The following is a 17383-nucleotide window of genomic DNA, read 5'->3' as shown; positions in this document are numbered from 1 at the left end:
CAGTATACTGTGTTGTCTGAGAAGTCAGGGAAGGTGCCATTCAAAAGATAAATTTTGAGTATGTATTAAAAGGTGAGTAGGTGTTCACTGAAAAAAAGGGCATTCCAGGCAGAGGAAAAAGTGGGAAAAGAGAGACCCTGGCCTTCTTGGGCTAAAACAAGTAGCTTTATATGAGAAGTAGGAGTGCATAGCATCTAGAGAAGATGACTTGCTAATAAAGGACCTTTCCATTGTATGATACTGGGGTTAGAATTTTAAAAAATAAAACAAAAAATAAAGGCCCTCATATACCACACTTAATTGAGAATCAACAGGGAGCCACTGATACCTACAAGGGACAGTTTAGATTTACATTTTTAAAAGATCCCTGAGTTGATGAACAATAAAAGGGAAAGAGACAGAAAGCACGAAAGTTAGTCAGGAGACCCTAGTCCCATTGAGAGATGATGAAACCTTGATCTAACGAAGTAAGAGTGGGAATGAACATGATGGGGGATATTTGAAAAACATTTAAGCAACAGCAGTAGCAGTTAATCGTTTTCAACAGATGGCTTAAATAGCAAAACTGCTGGAAAGAACTACAGCTTCTTTTGCTCTGGAGGGCAGAGCAGAACTTCCAAATACATAGAAACATGAAAAATATATAATGTTCTTCAGATATCAGTGAGGTGAAGCATAAGAATAACATGATGTAAGGTTCAATAAGGTGCTCTGATATGTACCTAAATTAAAACACAATTAAAGGAAACAATGACAAAAAAAGCTTCTAAAGCAAACAAACAAAAAAACACAAAATCCATCTGAACAACCAAAAAACGCAAAAAGAATCATGAACCAAAATAAACATTTGTAGTTTGTCTTCAAATACAGTCAGGTTTTTTTTTTTATGGATTCTGTATCCATGTATTCAACCATTCACAAATTCAACCAACTGTGGGTCAAAAATATTTGGAAAAAAAAAAGAAAAATAATAATACAACAATAAAAAATAACAAAACCCAGTATAACTATTTACATAGCATTTACATTGTTTTAGATATTATAAGTAATCTAGAGATGATTTAAAGTATAGGAAAATGTGTGTAGGTTATGTGCAGATACCACCTCATTTATATAAGGGACTTGAGCATCTTCGGGTTTTGGTATCTGTGGGAGGTGCTGGAACCAATCCCCCTTGGATGCCAAGGGACAACTGTAATCTGTAAATCTGTTGGAATTTTGCAATTAAAGTGTGTTCACTGAGTTTATGAGACAGATGGTTACATAAGAATGTTTCACTAGAACCATGTTCTTACATATGGGAAACCAGAGACAGCAGCATTATCAAATGCACACATGGAATACATATACGAAGAATCAAAATCAACAACACCATTTTTCTTTTTTTCAAATTCCTTCTCAGAAGCAATGGTGTCATGGTTAAATTTGGAAGTATCAGGAATAAAGGATGTGACAGAAGCCACCAGACTCAATGCTGGGACTGCATATCATCCCATGGGATGCTCGCAACAGACAGTAACACGAGCTTCTGACATACACCAGCCATATTAATAAGTCTCAGGGGGGAACATAATGAGGCAAATATGAAACAGCTAATATGAGCCTTGAAGTACCTCCCCATCAGCAGCAGGAAAACACAGTTGGGTTTTGGTGGAAGGAGAGGCCAAAGATTTGACAAAGGATTCGTGAGAAACCAGAAGAATGCACTGCACTGAAGGAGCTGCCCAGGTAGCTTGAACTCTGAGCTGTGGGTCAAAACAAATGAGGAGGGAGAGGTGACTTCTGTGGACTTTTGTGGACTGGCTTTGTTGCCTTTGTGTTACCAGGACATTACCATCACTGGGAGAACAAGACAGCCATTTCAGTGTTCTCATTCCCTGAATGCACTGTGTTAGCCTGCTAAGGCAAACCAGGTACTGAGTGGCTTAAACAACAGAAATGTATTGTCTCACAGTGTGGGAGGCTAGATGTCTGAGATCGAGGTGTTGGTTTGCAGGGTTGGTTCTTTCTGAGGGATGGGAGGGAAGGATCTGTTCCAGGCCTCTCTCTTTGGCTTGCAGATGGCCATCTTCTCCCTATGTCTCTTCATATCATCTTCCCTCCACCTGTGTCTCTGTATCCAAATTTCCCCTCCCCTTTTTATTATAAGGACACCAGTCATATTGACCTCACTTTAATTTGATTACTTCTGTGAAGCCCTATCTTCAAATAAGATCACATTCTTAGTCACTGGAAGCTAAGAATTTAACATATGAATTTTCAGGGCGGACACAAATCATACCATAACACACTCCATGTATATTATGGCACTGTGCCTTGTACCTTGCACCTGATGCAGTCCTATTCATCCTTTAAGACTCATCACTCATCTGTGAAGGTGACCCTCATCCCTTCCTTTGCCTCCCCACTGAACTACTTCCTACTTGTCATTGCTGACCTTGAATGTATTTCAATTACAGCACTGTGTCATTTCAGATGTACTAAAAATTAGCAGAAAGAGCCCCCCCCCGCCGCCCACACACACACACACACACACACACACACACACACACACAGAGAGAGATTGGGTCAACTCCGTAATTAATTAGCCAAGGGTACAGAAACTCACAGCTAGCACAGGCCACAGAAGGCGAGAGCACAGGCAGAGCATCCTGCCATGGCCTTCTCTTGCTCCTTGTACCCTAACATGGGTGCAATGCTAATAACCCTATCCCCTGTCTGTGTTGGGTAGGCATTACCAGATTTGAAAAAAACAATGTTTGCTGCCCCACGACTTTTTTTTTTGGGGGGGGGTGAGGGTAGGGAATGTCACATCACCATTCCAGAAGAATTCACACTAATAATTTATGTACCTGCATTTAAGGTAATGTTTACAAATGCTAGGCTCTCTTGTTTTTGAACAAAATTCATTTTCAGCAATGATATAACTTAATCCAAGGAAGAAAACATCATTGTTGCTCAGGACTCTCAGAACAAAGTCTCTGCCTTCAGCTGTGTCTCAGAAAACCTGTTTTCCTGCGGCCCACCCCTGACTCTGATTTAATGACCCATGAGGGTGGACCTGACACTGAGTGTGGTCTAAGGAGCATGATCTCAAATCAATTTCTCACAAGCACATGCCTCACTGTTTAGAGGTTTATATTTCCACCTACGGTGGAAGCAACTTGAAGTCAGTGATAACTTAATAATCTTTATAGCTCCAGGGACTAGCATGGTGCCTGAAACACAGCAAATTATCAGAAAAAGTTCACTGAATGAACAGTGGACGCTGAAGTTATCCTTTCAAATCATGGATGCCAAAATGCTCAGTGCATCAGAGAAAACGAGTGGTTTCTCCACTGAGAGCCATCCTGAGCTCTGCCATTTTCTTTGGGGTGCTCTATCCCAGGACTCATTTTTATACCCATCCTAGAAATTCTCTTCATTTCTCTTGGTATTCTTTTGGATCAAGGCCCTCCCTTCAGTGAGTTAAAGCTTGCTTGAAACAAAAAATATAAATGTGTGTTTGCGGTGAAAGACGGTTGATCCTATTTTTAATTTTGGCCAAGAAGATGTCATTTAAGGAACAAATGGCAGTTATCTTTTACTTAGGATTTTCCTGTTAGCTCATCAGTAGAAGGTTGCAGGCAAGTCAAAGATACTTAAATCAGTAAAAATGAAGTTAAAGGCCACAGAGAAGATCCAAAACAGCAATTATACTTAAGTGGTTATCAGGCTTCACATCTTATATCAAGTCTCAAAAGAACTTGAGAATCCCCCATGAGAGTTTGATCATTGACTTACATGACCTGGGATTCTGCTGAGGTCACTGGTACTATAAGAAATTTGGGGGGAAAATGTGATTTTTCTACCCTAGGAAGGAAGTATAACTGAAATATCTCTTAGTTCCCTCAATTTCCCATGCCATGCAAATTGTCTCAAATGTTTGCCTAAAATCTTGCTCATTATTGTTGAAAATATCTTGTGTAAGTAATGTATTTTTAGAACAGTCTGTGAAATACTCCTTGGCAAGCTGCTGGTGAAAGACTTTAAATGGTGCTAGGAAAATTTACGTGGAGCTATCTGTTCATTCAACACTGTCGCAAATTGATTGAGAAATTATGGGCTTCTCTCATTGTACATTCCCCTCAGGGTGGTAAATCTACTATAATTTGAGAGAGACTAGTTGTTTTACATGTGAGAAGGTTCTACTCATAGAACAGCAGTGACATGCTGATGAAATCTTTATTTTCTGGACCAAATATTGGGACAAATGGTCTGAAAATGGGGCACGCTATTAAAAGCCAACGCTGTCCTAAAAAAATACAAAAGGCGTAGTTGCTCTCCTCAAAGTAGTTCCTTTTCTCTTTCTTTGACTATGTATAGCTAAAGGGAGGGATGAGAAACTTGAAGAAATGAGAACTGTAATAAATGGTGAGTTACTCCAGAGGCTAGTTTGGAAAGAAAGAAGCAACAGTAATGACCCCTAAGCAGAAATCCCCACAACAAGGTTAAATGCAAACTTTGATAAAGCAGACAAGACAGTGCAATAAATGTTTATAATGAGAAAGGTATAAATGATCATTTAGTTTGCTTTTGAAAAGTTGCCTTTAAGAGCAATGCTGGACCGGTGGCTGAAATGAGTAATGTGAGCCGGCTGTGGCTCTCACCTGTAATCCCAGCACTCTGGGAGGCCAAGGTGGGAAGATTGCTTGAGCCCAGGAGTTCAACCGGCCTGGGGAACACAGGGAGACCCTGTCTCTACAAATAATAAAAAAGTAGCTGGGCATATTATTTTGTTTTTTGAACAAAATTCATGAACAATAATTGAAAATTTAAAGAATAATTCAAAATAGTTATTTGTAGAGACACTGTCTCTACAAACAATAAAAAAGTAGCTATTTGGGAGGCTGAGGCAGGAGGACCACCTGAGCCCGGGAGGTTGAGGCTGCAGTGATTGTGCCACTGCACTCCAGCCTGGATGACAGAGCGGGACCCTGTCTCAAACAAAACAAAAACAAAAGTAATGTTTATTAATGTTTCACTTCAAAGTTTTAATAAACAGTTAAGTAATCAAAATAAAACAATAAATGGGAACAAGGCTGTGTGGCAGCAGGCCCTGCTCTAATTCCATATGCACAACACACAGTGGGCACTAATGAATATTCACTGACAGATCGGCTGGAAGTTGGAATCGTGAGACTGAGGTACCAAGGGTGCAAGTTTGCAGCATAAAATAAAACTCAAACCTCATTTTAAAAAGTTTAACAGGTAAATGTAAAGTTGGGAAGTGACAATAAATGTCACAATCTCTTATGAATCTTCACCAACCACGTATTTAATTAAGCCCTCTCAAACCTTTTAACTTTTACTACTTGTAAGTATACTGAGGCCATTTCACAAGTGTGTACTGCTCTCTTCTCTTTGTTTTAAGGCAGGTGATACAAACTCAAATATCTTTAAGGGCCAGGCAAGCCATGAAAATGAGGTGAGTGGGCTGAGTGGAGAACATGGCAAACAGGAAGCACACATTCTGTGTCTAAGGGAAGTCAGTTACCGTCCTGTAGAAACACAGGTCTAGTGTGATCAGTTCTTCTAATTTTTAAAGAGGCTGGATATTGATAAATAATATATATTTATAATATGTATATATATACACACATTTTTTTTTTTTTGAGACAGAGTCTTGCACTGTTGCCCAGGCTGGAGTGCAGTGGCATGATCTCGGCTCACTGCAACCTCCGCCTCCTGGGTTCAAGTGATTCTCCTGCCTCAGCCTCCTGAGTAACTGGGACTACAGGCATGCGCCATCATGCCTGGCTAATTTTTATATTTTTAGTAGAGACGGCGTTTTGCCATGCTGGCCAGGCTGATCTCGAACTCCTGACCTCAAGAGATCTGCCCGCCTTGGCCTCCCAAAGTGCTGGGATTATAGGCGTGAGCCACTGTGCCCACCCTGCATATTAATATTTTTTTGAAAACTTACAGTGTTTAAAGGACAGCAAATAACTTTCAAAACCCAAGCACTGTAGAGCAAACAAAAGTTTTCAGGCCAGGAGTGGTGGCTCACGCCTGTAATCCCAGCATCTTGGGAGGCCAAGGCAGGCGGATCGCTTGAACCCAGGAGTTAGAGACCAGCCTGGGCAACATGGGGAAACCCTGTCTCTATGAAAAATACAAAAATCAGCCGGGCACGGTGGTTAACACTTGTAGTCCCAGCTACTCAGGGGGCTGAGGTGGGAGGATCACCTGAGCCTGTGAGGTCAAGGTGCAATGAGCTGTGATTGTGCCTCTGCACCCCAGCCTGGGTGGCAGAGTGAGACCCTGTCTCAAAAAAAATTTTTTTTTCATGGGCCAGATAGGGTCTGTTGCAGGTGGTGCCTACTACTTTTTTTTTTTTTTTTTTTTTTTTGAGACAGAGTTTTGCTCTGTTGCCCAGGCTGGAGTGCAGCGGCACGATCTCGGTTCACTGCAATCTCCCGGGTTCAAGTGATTCTCCTGTCTCAGCCTCCTGAGTAGCTGGGACTACAGGCACATGCTGCCATGCCCAGCTAATTTTTCATATTTTAGTAGAGACGGGGTTTCACCACGTTGCCCAGGCTGGTCTCGAACTCTTGAGCTCAGGCAATCTGCCCGCCTTGATCTCCCAAAGTGACTATTTAAAGTATTCTAAGATTTGGTGAAAAGGCTCATGTTCTACTTAGCTGTACTGTCCATGCTTTTTAAAACTTGGGTGAAATTCTCTCTCAACTTTTTTTTTTTTTGGGAGACAGGGTCCCATTCCATTACCCAGGCTAGAGTGCAGTGGCACAACCATAGCTCCATGCAGCCTCAAGCCCCAGGGGACCTTCAGTATTTATTGTACTGAACCACAGTAACAAAACTCCTTAACTTGGCTCTCAAAGCTTCTTGTTGAATGACCTCACCTTCTCCATCAGTTCATCCCCAAAGAGAACTGGGGTGATAACCAAACTGTTCTATTCTCCCAAAGCACCTTGACATATATTGAAGTATCTTTTCTTCCCTCTATTTTTATGGTATCTACTGATTATCGAAAATCTAATTGAAATCTTACTTTCTTTGGGAATCCCACTCCACTACAGTAAATTTTCTTCGGTGTTCAACAAATCATAAACCAGTAGTCATGCTCACAAGAAACATTAGGATAATCCAATTCATTTGCTTTTTCAGCTAATGTTTAAAAATTACTTTTTAAGTTTTATTTTGCAGTCAGTAGGTTTTTAAAAATTTATTTTAATTAATTAATATTTTTAAGAGACAGGGTCCTGCTCTGTCACCCAGGCTAAAGTGCAGTGGCACCATCTCACCTCAGTGCAGTCTCGAACTCCTAGGCTCAACAGATCCTCCCTCAGCTTCCCAAGTTCTTTAGATAATTTTTAAAAATTAACCCTCACAAAGCACTGCCTGACTCTCTAAGTTTATAAGGACACTGTGCTTCTCCACATTATGCCTAAAAAGGCATACATTAAGGATCACAAACTCAAAGGCCTGCGGAGGCCAGACAGGTAACACAAACAGTCCAGTGTAAGAGAACTGGGAGTTGAATGACTGGCAAAGTAGGATTCAAATGCCCCAGCTCTTCAATTCATGAGGCAGTGCAGGGCCAGAGTGGCCAGACCTTTTTTTTTTCTTTTAAAAAAAAACAGGTCAAAACTTTGGGAGCCAAACAAAACAGATCTGTGAGCTGCCAGTTTTGACTTTGTGTATAATACACTATTTTCCTTGAGTTTAGAGAATGTTATCCAAATAAAACAGCAGGAGGATATGCAGGGAAAAACAAGGGAAGTCACTAGACATACAAACTGTAGATAGAATAGGATCCAGTAAACTGCATTAGGTATTTTGTGAAGCCTAGACAAAACCTAGGCTCTCAAACGCTGCCTCAAGGTGAGCAATAGCTTTCCTTTGGAAAGGCTCATCTGTGGGACCCTACATAGAGATGACATTGGTTGCATCTTAAATATACACATTTGAATAAGGGCTAGTTTGTTTCTACTCGGAATAATAGAAGCCAAAAATTACAATGGGTTTTGACCAAATTATACTGGTCTAAAAACACATCATTCTTTCTTAACAGAAACAAATACACAGAGCTCAAACATCTTGGTGGGATTAAAACAAAACAGGGTATGAAAGTGAATTTTGATAATTCACTTTATCACTGTAAGTTATTTTTTTGCTTCTGTCCCACAGTCCTTTCTTTTGGGAATTGTCTGTCTCTAGAAATACACTATTTCTGTTGGAATTCTCAATCAAAGAGTTCTATGAGCTGCACATTCTCCAGGTTGGCCAATGACAGAATCTCATTTCCTAGATGTAATGGTTTGTCCAGAAGTATGCATGACTTCAGCCAGGTCAGTGAAGAGTCAGTCCTACTTCAGAGACAAGAATGCTAGGATGGAGTGGGATGGAAAGCTTTAAAAGGGACCACATAGTTCTGCGTCTATCCTGAAAACACTACCAACACACATGAAGAAATCACTTCAAAGTGATAAAGAGAGAGTCCTGATAACATCATTTGAACACAAATCCAGTGATGTCTGAGGATACTGCAAACACTGACCAATAGTTAACTTTTTAACTTGTGTTCCTGTAAATTACAATTGGGAGCCTTGACTAATGCAAGAAACATTTGTGGTTTGTATCTTTATTTTAGGAGAACGTGAATTCAAGTAAGTTAATTTCAGAAATAGGCAGCTGAATTGTATAATTGCTTCCTAGCTCAACATATATTGATAAATCATATTTTATATTCTATTCATTTAAATACAGTAATGCTGGCAAATAAACATTTTCTATCCTCATTCAAGTACCATTTGAAAATATGATTTTGTTCTAATTATATCAGTAATGCCATGTTCAGTACCAAAAATTTAGAGAATATAGGAAAGCATAAGGAAAAAAAGAAGTGAATTTTAAAAGTTAGGATTAAATTAACATGGCACACTGTGGGCCAGGCACCATAATGGCTCATGCCTGTAATCCCAGCACTTTGGGAGGCCAAGGCAGGAGGACTGCTTGAAGCCGGCAGTTTGAGTCCAGTCTGGGCAACATAGCAAGGCCCCATCTCTACAAAATATTTTTTAAAATAAGTTAACATGTTAGTCAAAAGTTCCACTGTACAAAAGATTGTATATTTTTGGATATATATGTTGAATTTGATAACCCACGGGAACTATTTTCAGTATAAATTACAATTTAAGGTAAAAAAAATTGTGTTTACATGTATATGCAGTTGAGTGTCTAGTAAAATATTAATCTATGGCAGAATACAGAATCTTTGCATTTATCCCCTACAAAGAGTACTACAGGAACCCTGAGAGCAGGAAATACGTGATGAAGAGGTTGAATCTTGAATATTAAATATGCCCAAGTCATGTGAGAATGTCTTCCAGTTATATTTGAATTCAGATTACTGGTGTGGCAGGACGAACGCATGCTCACCTCTTCATTCTCGATTTTGAGCGTGGCAAGGCGGGACTGCAACTGTTGGTACCTGAGCATGAGCTCTGCCTGGACTGGCTGCTGGGCACTGACCTGGCACACCTGATGGAGAATGAGAAACCAGTTACAACAGGGCACCATCAACCCACCTCCAGAAGCACGGCTCTGTTATTTAAATGATGCATGAATCACACCAATCCTCTCAAGGTTCCAATTACATATTTACTTTTAATAGGCACATCAAAACTTCACTTGTAAATATGGAGCTGTTACATAAGCTGCAATAGCAGAATGCAGCTGCTTGGCCTGGCTACAACTGGGAAGATGGCAGCTGCAGGAAGGACTGTGGTAAGAATGGGGCGGTTCCTGCGATGGAGCTCCGATGCTGAAATCTCACTCGTGGAATTCTTAATGACTCTTTTGCAGAGGCAGAAGATGATTCAAGTGGATTGTACGGACATAAGTAAAGAAGGCAGCAGGGCTTACTGGTTAGGGTCTGAGCTCTCGAGTCCGTCAGTTGTACTCGAACGCCAGCTCTGTCCCCTACCAGCCAGGTGACTGTGGTAAGTTACAAAACCTCAGTTTCCTAATCTGTAGAATGAGGATAAGAGTTCTTATATCACAGGGCTGCTGTGGGAATGAAATGAGACAACGTACACAAGGAACTTAGAACAGTGCTTGGCACACAGTAAAAACTCAGAAAATGTGAATGACTACTTTAGCATCTTTCAAATATGGCTTCCCTAACCAATATCAGCCAAGTCACGTGATTCACCATGAACTTCAAGAAGTCACTTATCTTAGGTTTTGATAGAAGATATTTGGCCATGATCTCAATTATGGATAAGTTCAAAATTAGAGCATTATTAAAACTGCACCAGAAACAAACAATTTCTTCTTATCTGCCTTGTTTTAGAAATGCTCTTGGCTCATGGGGGTTCCTTTTATAGAGTTTCCAAAACATTAGAGAGATTACCACTGCTCCTTAGCAGAACTGGCCATAAAAAAAGGGCAACCAACTTACTTTATTAAAACAATTAAACCATTAAAATACAACTGATGTCATTTGTCTGTGATATGTTAACATGCCATGCTTAACATATCCACAGCTGAAAAATTAAAACAGCAACCATTTGGTTTTGGAAAGATGGGATAAGCTACTCATCTTGCTTGTCAAAATCCATGTGTGTTTGGCTTAAATACCATTTCTATCAAACACACATAAAATCCAATTAGAAATACAGCAGGTACATTATATGTGTATATATATATAAAATATATATAAAAACATGTATATATTTTACATGTCTTAATACTTGGTGTTTCAGAAAAAAACATAGCATTAAAGAAATCTTTTCATGATCTTATAATTACATTTGGAAAAACAGACTGTCACCATAATAAGTTAAGACTGAGTTTTTATCTATGAGTTTTGTTTTGCACAGCTGAGACAACAAGTGCTATATAGCATGCTCCCTAAGTTGGCTTTTTTTGTTTTCTCCTGTCTGTAGACAATAATATAAACAACTGTAACTCATAATCAGTTTAAATGCATTTTTTTTGGTAAAATAACATAGAAAGCTGAATTTATATAAAGGATCTAAAACAGTCATAATTTCTAAGGCTCATTTTATAGCTTTGGAGCCAACTTGAATTTTAAAAAAAGTTTTGTACTTTTTTTTCCTTCTTCCATTTTCCTGCCACATACAATTACTTTTCTTTATGAGAATCTTTAAATCAGGATTATCAGAAGCCATCAGACAGATTCTATCAGACCAGCAAAATGCCTTCATTTTCATTAAATTAAAATGTCTTGAGGTGGAACAAAAACTTTCTATTCTGGGACAGCTTAGTGCAAGGCAAATCTGCACCTTTTATCTGTTTGGCCTCTGTGGGTATTTGAGTGTTTGACGTTTGCTTTAAAAGGCGGTAGCGACTAATCTTAGCATTATATTAAGAGCCTCTGCAAGGACAGGAGAGAGAAAACAACTGGGAATTATTACAACTGTTAGATTATAGCAAGTGAGGAGAAATATAAGTGAAGAGACAATTCATTATTTTAAAAATGATCAATTACTGACCTCATCACCCATGTGAGACTGAAACTCAAACTTCATTGGTGGACAGAACGCAGCAGGGTACATCTCCATGAATCTCTGCTTATCGCTCCTGGGCTCTAAATTATCAACTGCATTCTCAATAATGTCTAAGCCCTCATGTCTGGAGGTTTCAAGGTTGTACTCCGCAGACAGATATGTTCTTAGGGCTCTGTTCAGACTTGCATGGTAGCCAAGATCACAGCACTTAAAAAGTAAAAGAACACCACATACAAAAATGAATGCAAAATTGATCAAAGACAAAAATGTGAGACCTACAGCTATAAAACTCTCAGAAGGAAACATGGGGGTAAGCTTTCATGACATTGGATTAGGCACTGGTTTCTTGGATATGACATCAAAAGTACAAGCAACAGATGAAAAAATAAATTAGATTCATCAAAATTGAAGACCCCCCGTCTCTACTAAAATACAAAAAATTAGCCAGGCATGGTGGCACGCACCTATAGTCTCAGCTACTCAGGAGGCTGAGCCACAAGAATTGCCTGAACCTGGGAGTTGAAGGCTGCAGTGAGCCAAGATAGTGCCACTGCACTCCAGCTTGGGCTACAGAGCAAGACTCCATGTGAAAAAAAGAAAAAAAAAAATAGACACTATCAAGAGAGTGAAAAGAGAACCCACAGAATGGGAAGATATTTTTGCAAATCACGTATCTTATTAGGTACTTATATCTAGAATATATAAAGAACTCTTACAACTCAATAATAAAAAGACAAAGTCTAATTTTAAAATGGGCAATGAATCTGAATAGACATGTCTTCAAAGACGACATACAAATGGTCAACAAGCACATGAGGAGATGCTTAATATCACTGGGAAATACTAATGATAATCGGAGAAATGCAAGTCAAAACCACAATGAGATACCACTTCACACCCACTAGGATGGCTGCAATCAATAAGACAGACAATAGCAAGTGTTGGAGAGGATGTGGAGAAATTGGAGCCCTCATACACTGCTGGTGGGAATGTAAAATGGTAGAGTCACTTTGGAAAGCAATCTGGTAGTTTCTCAAAAGTTAAACATAGAGTTACCATATGACTCAGCAAATCTGCTCCTAGATATATAAGAGAAATGAAAACATATTTCCACCTAAAAATGTGCACACAAATGTTTATAGCAGTATTATGCATAATAGCTAAAAGGTAAAAACAATCTAAATGTCTACAAACTAATAAATAAAATATGGTATAGCCATATCATTAAATATTATTCAGCCACAAAAAGGAAGGAAGAACTGATACATGCCATAACATGGATGAAACTTTGAAAACATTATTCTAAGTGAAAGAAGCAAGTCACAAAAGACCACATATGATTTTATTGACACGAAATGTTCAGAAGAGATAAATCTATAGAGACAAAAAGTAGATTGTGGTTAATGAGGGCTAAGAAGAGGGAAGAAGTTGGGGGTGATGGCTGAGAGATGCAGGATTTCTTTGTGGGATAATGAAAATATTCTAAAATTGATTGTGGTGATGGATATACAACTCTCAGTATACTGAAAGACAGCTGTAGATTTATAATGGGTGAACTGTGTAGTATGTGAATTGTATCTCCATAAAGCTGTTAAAACATAAAAGAGGCAAAATCAAATACCAAAAGAAAAGAATGAAAAATAGCATTCAAGTTTTATTTGTGCAATACTGATACTGATACAATCATTTATTGAAATCTGTGTAGGTTGCAAATACACTAACTACAATATTTTGAATTTGCATATTTTTATTGAAGATCAAGAATAAACTTTTAGAAGTGAGAAGAACAGGTTAGAATCTGCCAAAATAGTCTAGGAATGCCTTCCCTCTTATCCCCAGAATAAAATTCTTAAATAATAAATGATTGCCAAAGTCTGCTTATTGGAGATAGAATTTCATTTAGTATTCCTAGGAATATAACAGCTTTGAGATTCTTGAATCTTCATTATCTTTAATTTGCATTTGTATTTTTTCATGTTGCATTTTAAGAGAATATGACTTGAAAAAAAGCATAATACTGGAAATTAGTAATCAATTACTGACAGGTTCATTTTCAATTTGTACATAAAAGCAGTATAAATCACTTAAAGAGGAAAGAAGTGACTTTAAAGTTACAAAACCAGGTCCTTTCCCTATATTGTTCCAGTGAAGTTCAATCAATTCAGTTTGATTCAATTCAACTCACTAATTGGCCATGGATTAAGTGCCAGGGAATATGCTAGGCTCTAGGCATATAAAGATTGGAACATAGTAAATAAACTATCTCCATCCACAAGGAATTTGAACATAAGCTGTCCGTTGGTTTGCTGTTAAAATAGTGGAGGAGTCGCAAAGAAAGCAACTTTTGTACAAAGGATGTATCTACCAGGATGTGAAACATTGGATCTGTCTTCACTGACCTGTCTTTAGAACCTGTTTAATTCCACCCTTGGAATTAAATTAAATAGGTTGGTCCTTACAACTAACCTATTTAATTCTAACCTTTACCCTCCAATTTCAGAATTATTAAATTTGAAATTTTTATGTAAAGATATTCTAAAATCTTGCTATTTAAAATTTAGTCTGTGGACTAGCAGCAATGGCATCACCAGGGGCTTGTTAGAAATGCTGGATCTTGGCTGGGCGCGGTGGCTCACGCCTGTAATCCCAGCACTTCAAGGGGCCAAGGTGGGAGGACTGCTTGAGCCCAGGGGTTCAAGACCAGCCTGAGTAACATAGTCAGACACTGTCTCTACAAAAAATTTTAAAAATTAGCCGAGTATAGGGGTGGGTGCTGTGGTCCTAGCTATTCAGGAGGTTGAGATTGGGGTATCACTTGATCCCGGGAGGTAGAGGCTGCAGTAAGCTGAGATTGTACCACTGCACTCTAGCCTGGGCAGCAGAGTGGGACCCCTGTCTCAAAGGAAAAAAAAAAAAAAGAAAAAAAGAAAGAAAGGAAGGAAGAAAAAAGGGAAGGAAGGATGGAAGGAAGGAAAAAGAAAAAAAAAGAAATGCAGGATCCTGAGTTCCACCCCGACCTATTTCAGAATCTGAAGATTAAAAAGGATCCACAGGTGATTCATATGCACATTAAAAGTCTAAGAAGCAATGCCCTAAAACAATCATCAAGTAAATGGGCCTGCAACCATGTCTTTTGGGGGTGCTATTTCCCCAAGCAGAAAAAAGGACTTGATTAAAGATGACTTGATTTAAAAAAACAGAAAGTAGCTGTGACACCATAATTACAAATACAAGCAAAATACAATTGTGAAATGCAGCAATCAGTCTCATCATTAATACATTTCCAGTGGAATCAGCTGCACTCAAATATAGAGAATGATTCATTTTGGTTAATTTAGAAATTCTAGTCCCAGATGAACAAAGTCCTCTTGTATTCCTCTTGCTTTTCAAAATCTATAATGGTTGTGTGGAGCGGTTTTATACATATCAGAGGGCCTGAAAAATTATTCTATCTTTCAAGAAAGATAGGAAATTTGCGTTAATGAAAACACAAATTTGTAAAGGAAATGACCTTTTTTTTTAGATGTACCAGTGTTTAAAAACATCTCACTATTCTGAAAGAAGATAGATTCTACTGGATTATAATGCAGCAGATGAGACAAGCTGTTCTATTTTATGAGTATTGATTCCAACGGGACTTAAAAAATTGAAATCAAGAGGAATGAAATCAGGAGAAAAGCCTCCACCTCCCACAAAAACCCCCAAATCTCTTAAACAACTTAAAAGAGAAAGACAGAGAGAAGGAAAAGGCAGAAAAAAAAGAGAAAGCAATCTAATCCCAACCACCAGATTGACTTGGAGCTCTGAAAAATACATACTAAATTTTCATTATTCCGAGACTTAGCTCACGCCTCAAAATTTTAAGTGTAGCTTCTTTGGGGAAATAAATATGAAGACTACAAAAGCATCGGTGCATGTTTCCATACCCAGTGCAGTCAGTTGGATTCTGCAGGTCTGGGCCCAACAAGAGATAATTTCATCGTGGCTTCCTCCTAGGCTGGGAGGAGCGTGCATGTGGCTTACTAACTGATAGAGGAGCCTCCCCAGGTGTCTTCTGAGCTTTGAGTGCTACCCTTAGGAGGCTTCTGTGAAGAGTTTTGATAGGAAATTTCCTTCTCTGACCCCTATGGTGCTTGTCAGTCTATAAGATCACTTAATTGGCTTAATTTTGTTACTTCTGATAGGCAGCATTTCTACACTCTAGGTTTTTCAGGCATCTTGAACTAGAAACAAGATACAGAAAAAAGGAAATTCTTATTCAAGGTCTCCTGAGACAGCAAGGCTAGTCACTGAATCTTTTTTTTTTTTCTAAACTAGAAACTGAAATGACACTGGATCTGTTAAGATTCAAGATACTTGGTTAAAAAGGTTTAGAGTAATTCTATGGAGCTCATGAATTATTAATGACAATATGAAAAGCCAGCCTCTGCACAAAGAGCTGAGTTATAGCCCAAGTGCATTTAGTGATGAAAATACATAAGAAACCAATACAAGATTTCATGAAAACAAAGCAATGTTCTGATGGATGAAAAATTCTGAACAGATACATAAAATTATGGATTAAAATTGGAGAAGAAAAGGCTGTTGGAAACAGAAGGGCATATGTATATTTTTAAAATATCTGAAAACCTGTCAAGACAGATTCCAATAGATATTAGTCTAAATCATCACAGTAGGCTAATTTTCTTAGGCAAAAGGGTTGCAAATAGTATCAAAATGAAGATGAAATCCAAGTACAGACGCTCCTCAATTTACAATGGGTTACATCCCAATAAACCTGTTGTTAAGTGGAAAATACTATAAATTAAAAATGCATTTAATGCCCCAATAAACTTATTGTAAAGTCGAAAAGTTGCAAGTTGAGCCATTGAAAGTCTAGATGCTCCTCTATTTGCAGTGGGGTTACGTCCAGATAAATCAATTGTAAAGCTGAAAAACTGTAAGTTGAACCAGTGTAAGTTGAGGACCATCTGTATGGAGGACTGTGACAAATGCTGAGAGTTGGCTGAAATAACATGGTGAGTATAATGTGTAATGTTAGGTATAACTGGATCACAGCTGTTCAGAAGGAATATCTTTTATTTTTTGGCATAACTCCATGATATGAGCCCTAGTGGGGTAGAAGTTTGCTCCTAAAACAGGAGTTACCATAGTGGAACTGTATGGGAAACAAGTCTGACATTCATGTTTCAAGAACAGTAGCAGCCACAGTCGTTCACCAGGGTTGCACTGGAGTAACTGGAGGGCAGCCCCAGGCTCCCATGTGACTCCAGAATTCAGCAGTTGTCGTGAGAATGGAAAGGAATTACTCTCTTCGGCAGAATTATTCTACCTTCATTTCTATACTCTGCAGAATTCTCTTCTGCAGAATTATTCTACCTTCATTTCTATACTCTGGTCTCTGTTTGAGAGACTTCTGTGATCTCATGTCCTGGGTCTTATCTCTGGGTTTAAAGAAGCCTGGCTTTGGTCATTCTAAAGCCATGGATATTGGGTATAGACTCTATCCACTCCTTATTTTGAGCCTTCTTGCAAAATAGTGCAACCTAAGCAAAGTGAATTATAAAGGACCAGAAATAGAAAAGTTCAGAGCTTTTACATAGTAGTCAAATGAAGAAAGTGGATTTCTTCTGCATAACTACCTCTTTGACCTTCTCTATTTTCCTAACTATACAGAATTTCACCCTAGATACCACAAACACATTTTGTGAGAGACAGGCATCTTGCAGGACTGAACCAGATGTCTAAACTTCTACAGGCAACTTTTACACACGAGTTTTCATATCTGGGTTCCTGAAGGTCCACAGAGAGCTAGCTGACAATTTAACTCTTCTTGTTGTTTT

General features: G+C 38.6%; 1 protein-coding gene across 4 annotated transcripts in view; it reads right to left on the bottom strand.

Moving 5' to 3' along the window:
- SRGAP1 (SLIT-ROBO Rho GTPase activating protein 1) overlaps positions 1–17383 on the bottom strand; it is a 317518-nt gene that overhangs the window by 87554 nt on the left and 212581 nt on the right. For all 4 annotated transcript variants that reach the window (NM_020762.4, NM_001346201.2, XM_024449096.2 and 1 more), the window contains exons 7-8: positions 11526–11747; positions 9445–9546 (exon numbers count right to left, since the gene is read on the bottom strand). In NM_020762.4, coding sequence (NP_065813.1) covers positions 9445–9546; positions 11526–11747 — 324 coding nt within the window. The remainder of the gene's footprint in view (positions 1–9444; positions 9547–11525; positions 11748–17383) is intronic.

The sequence above is a fragment of the Homo sapiens genome, chromosome 12 (genome assembly GCF_000001405.40).
Source record: "Homo sapiens chromosome 12, GRCh38.p14 Primary Assembly".
NCBI classification, from domain to species: Eukaryota; Metazoa; Chordata; class Mammalia; order Primates; family Hominidae; genus Homo; species Homo sapiens.
The sequence above is the reverse complement of the archived record's forward strand: the minus strand, read 5'-3'. Positions and strand labels throughout refer to the sequence as shown.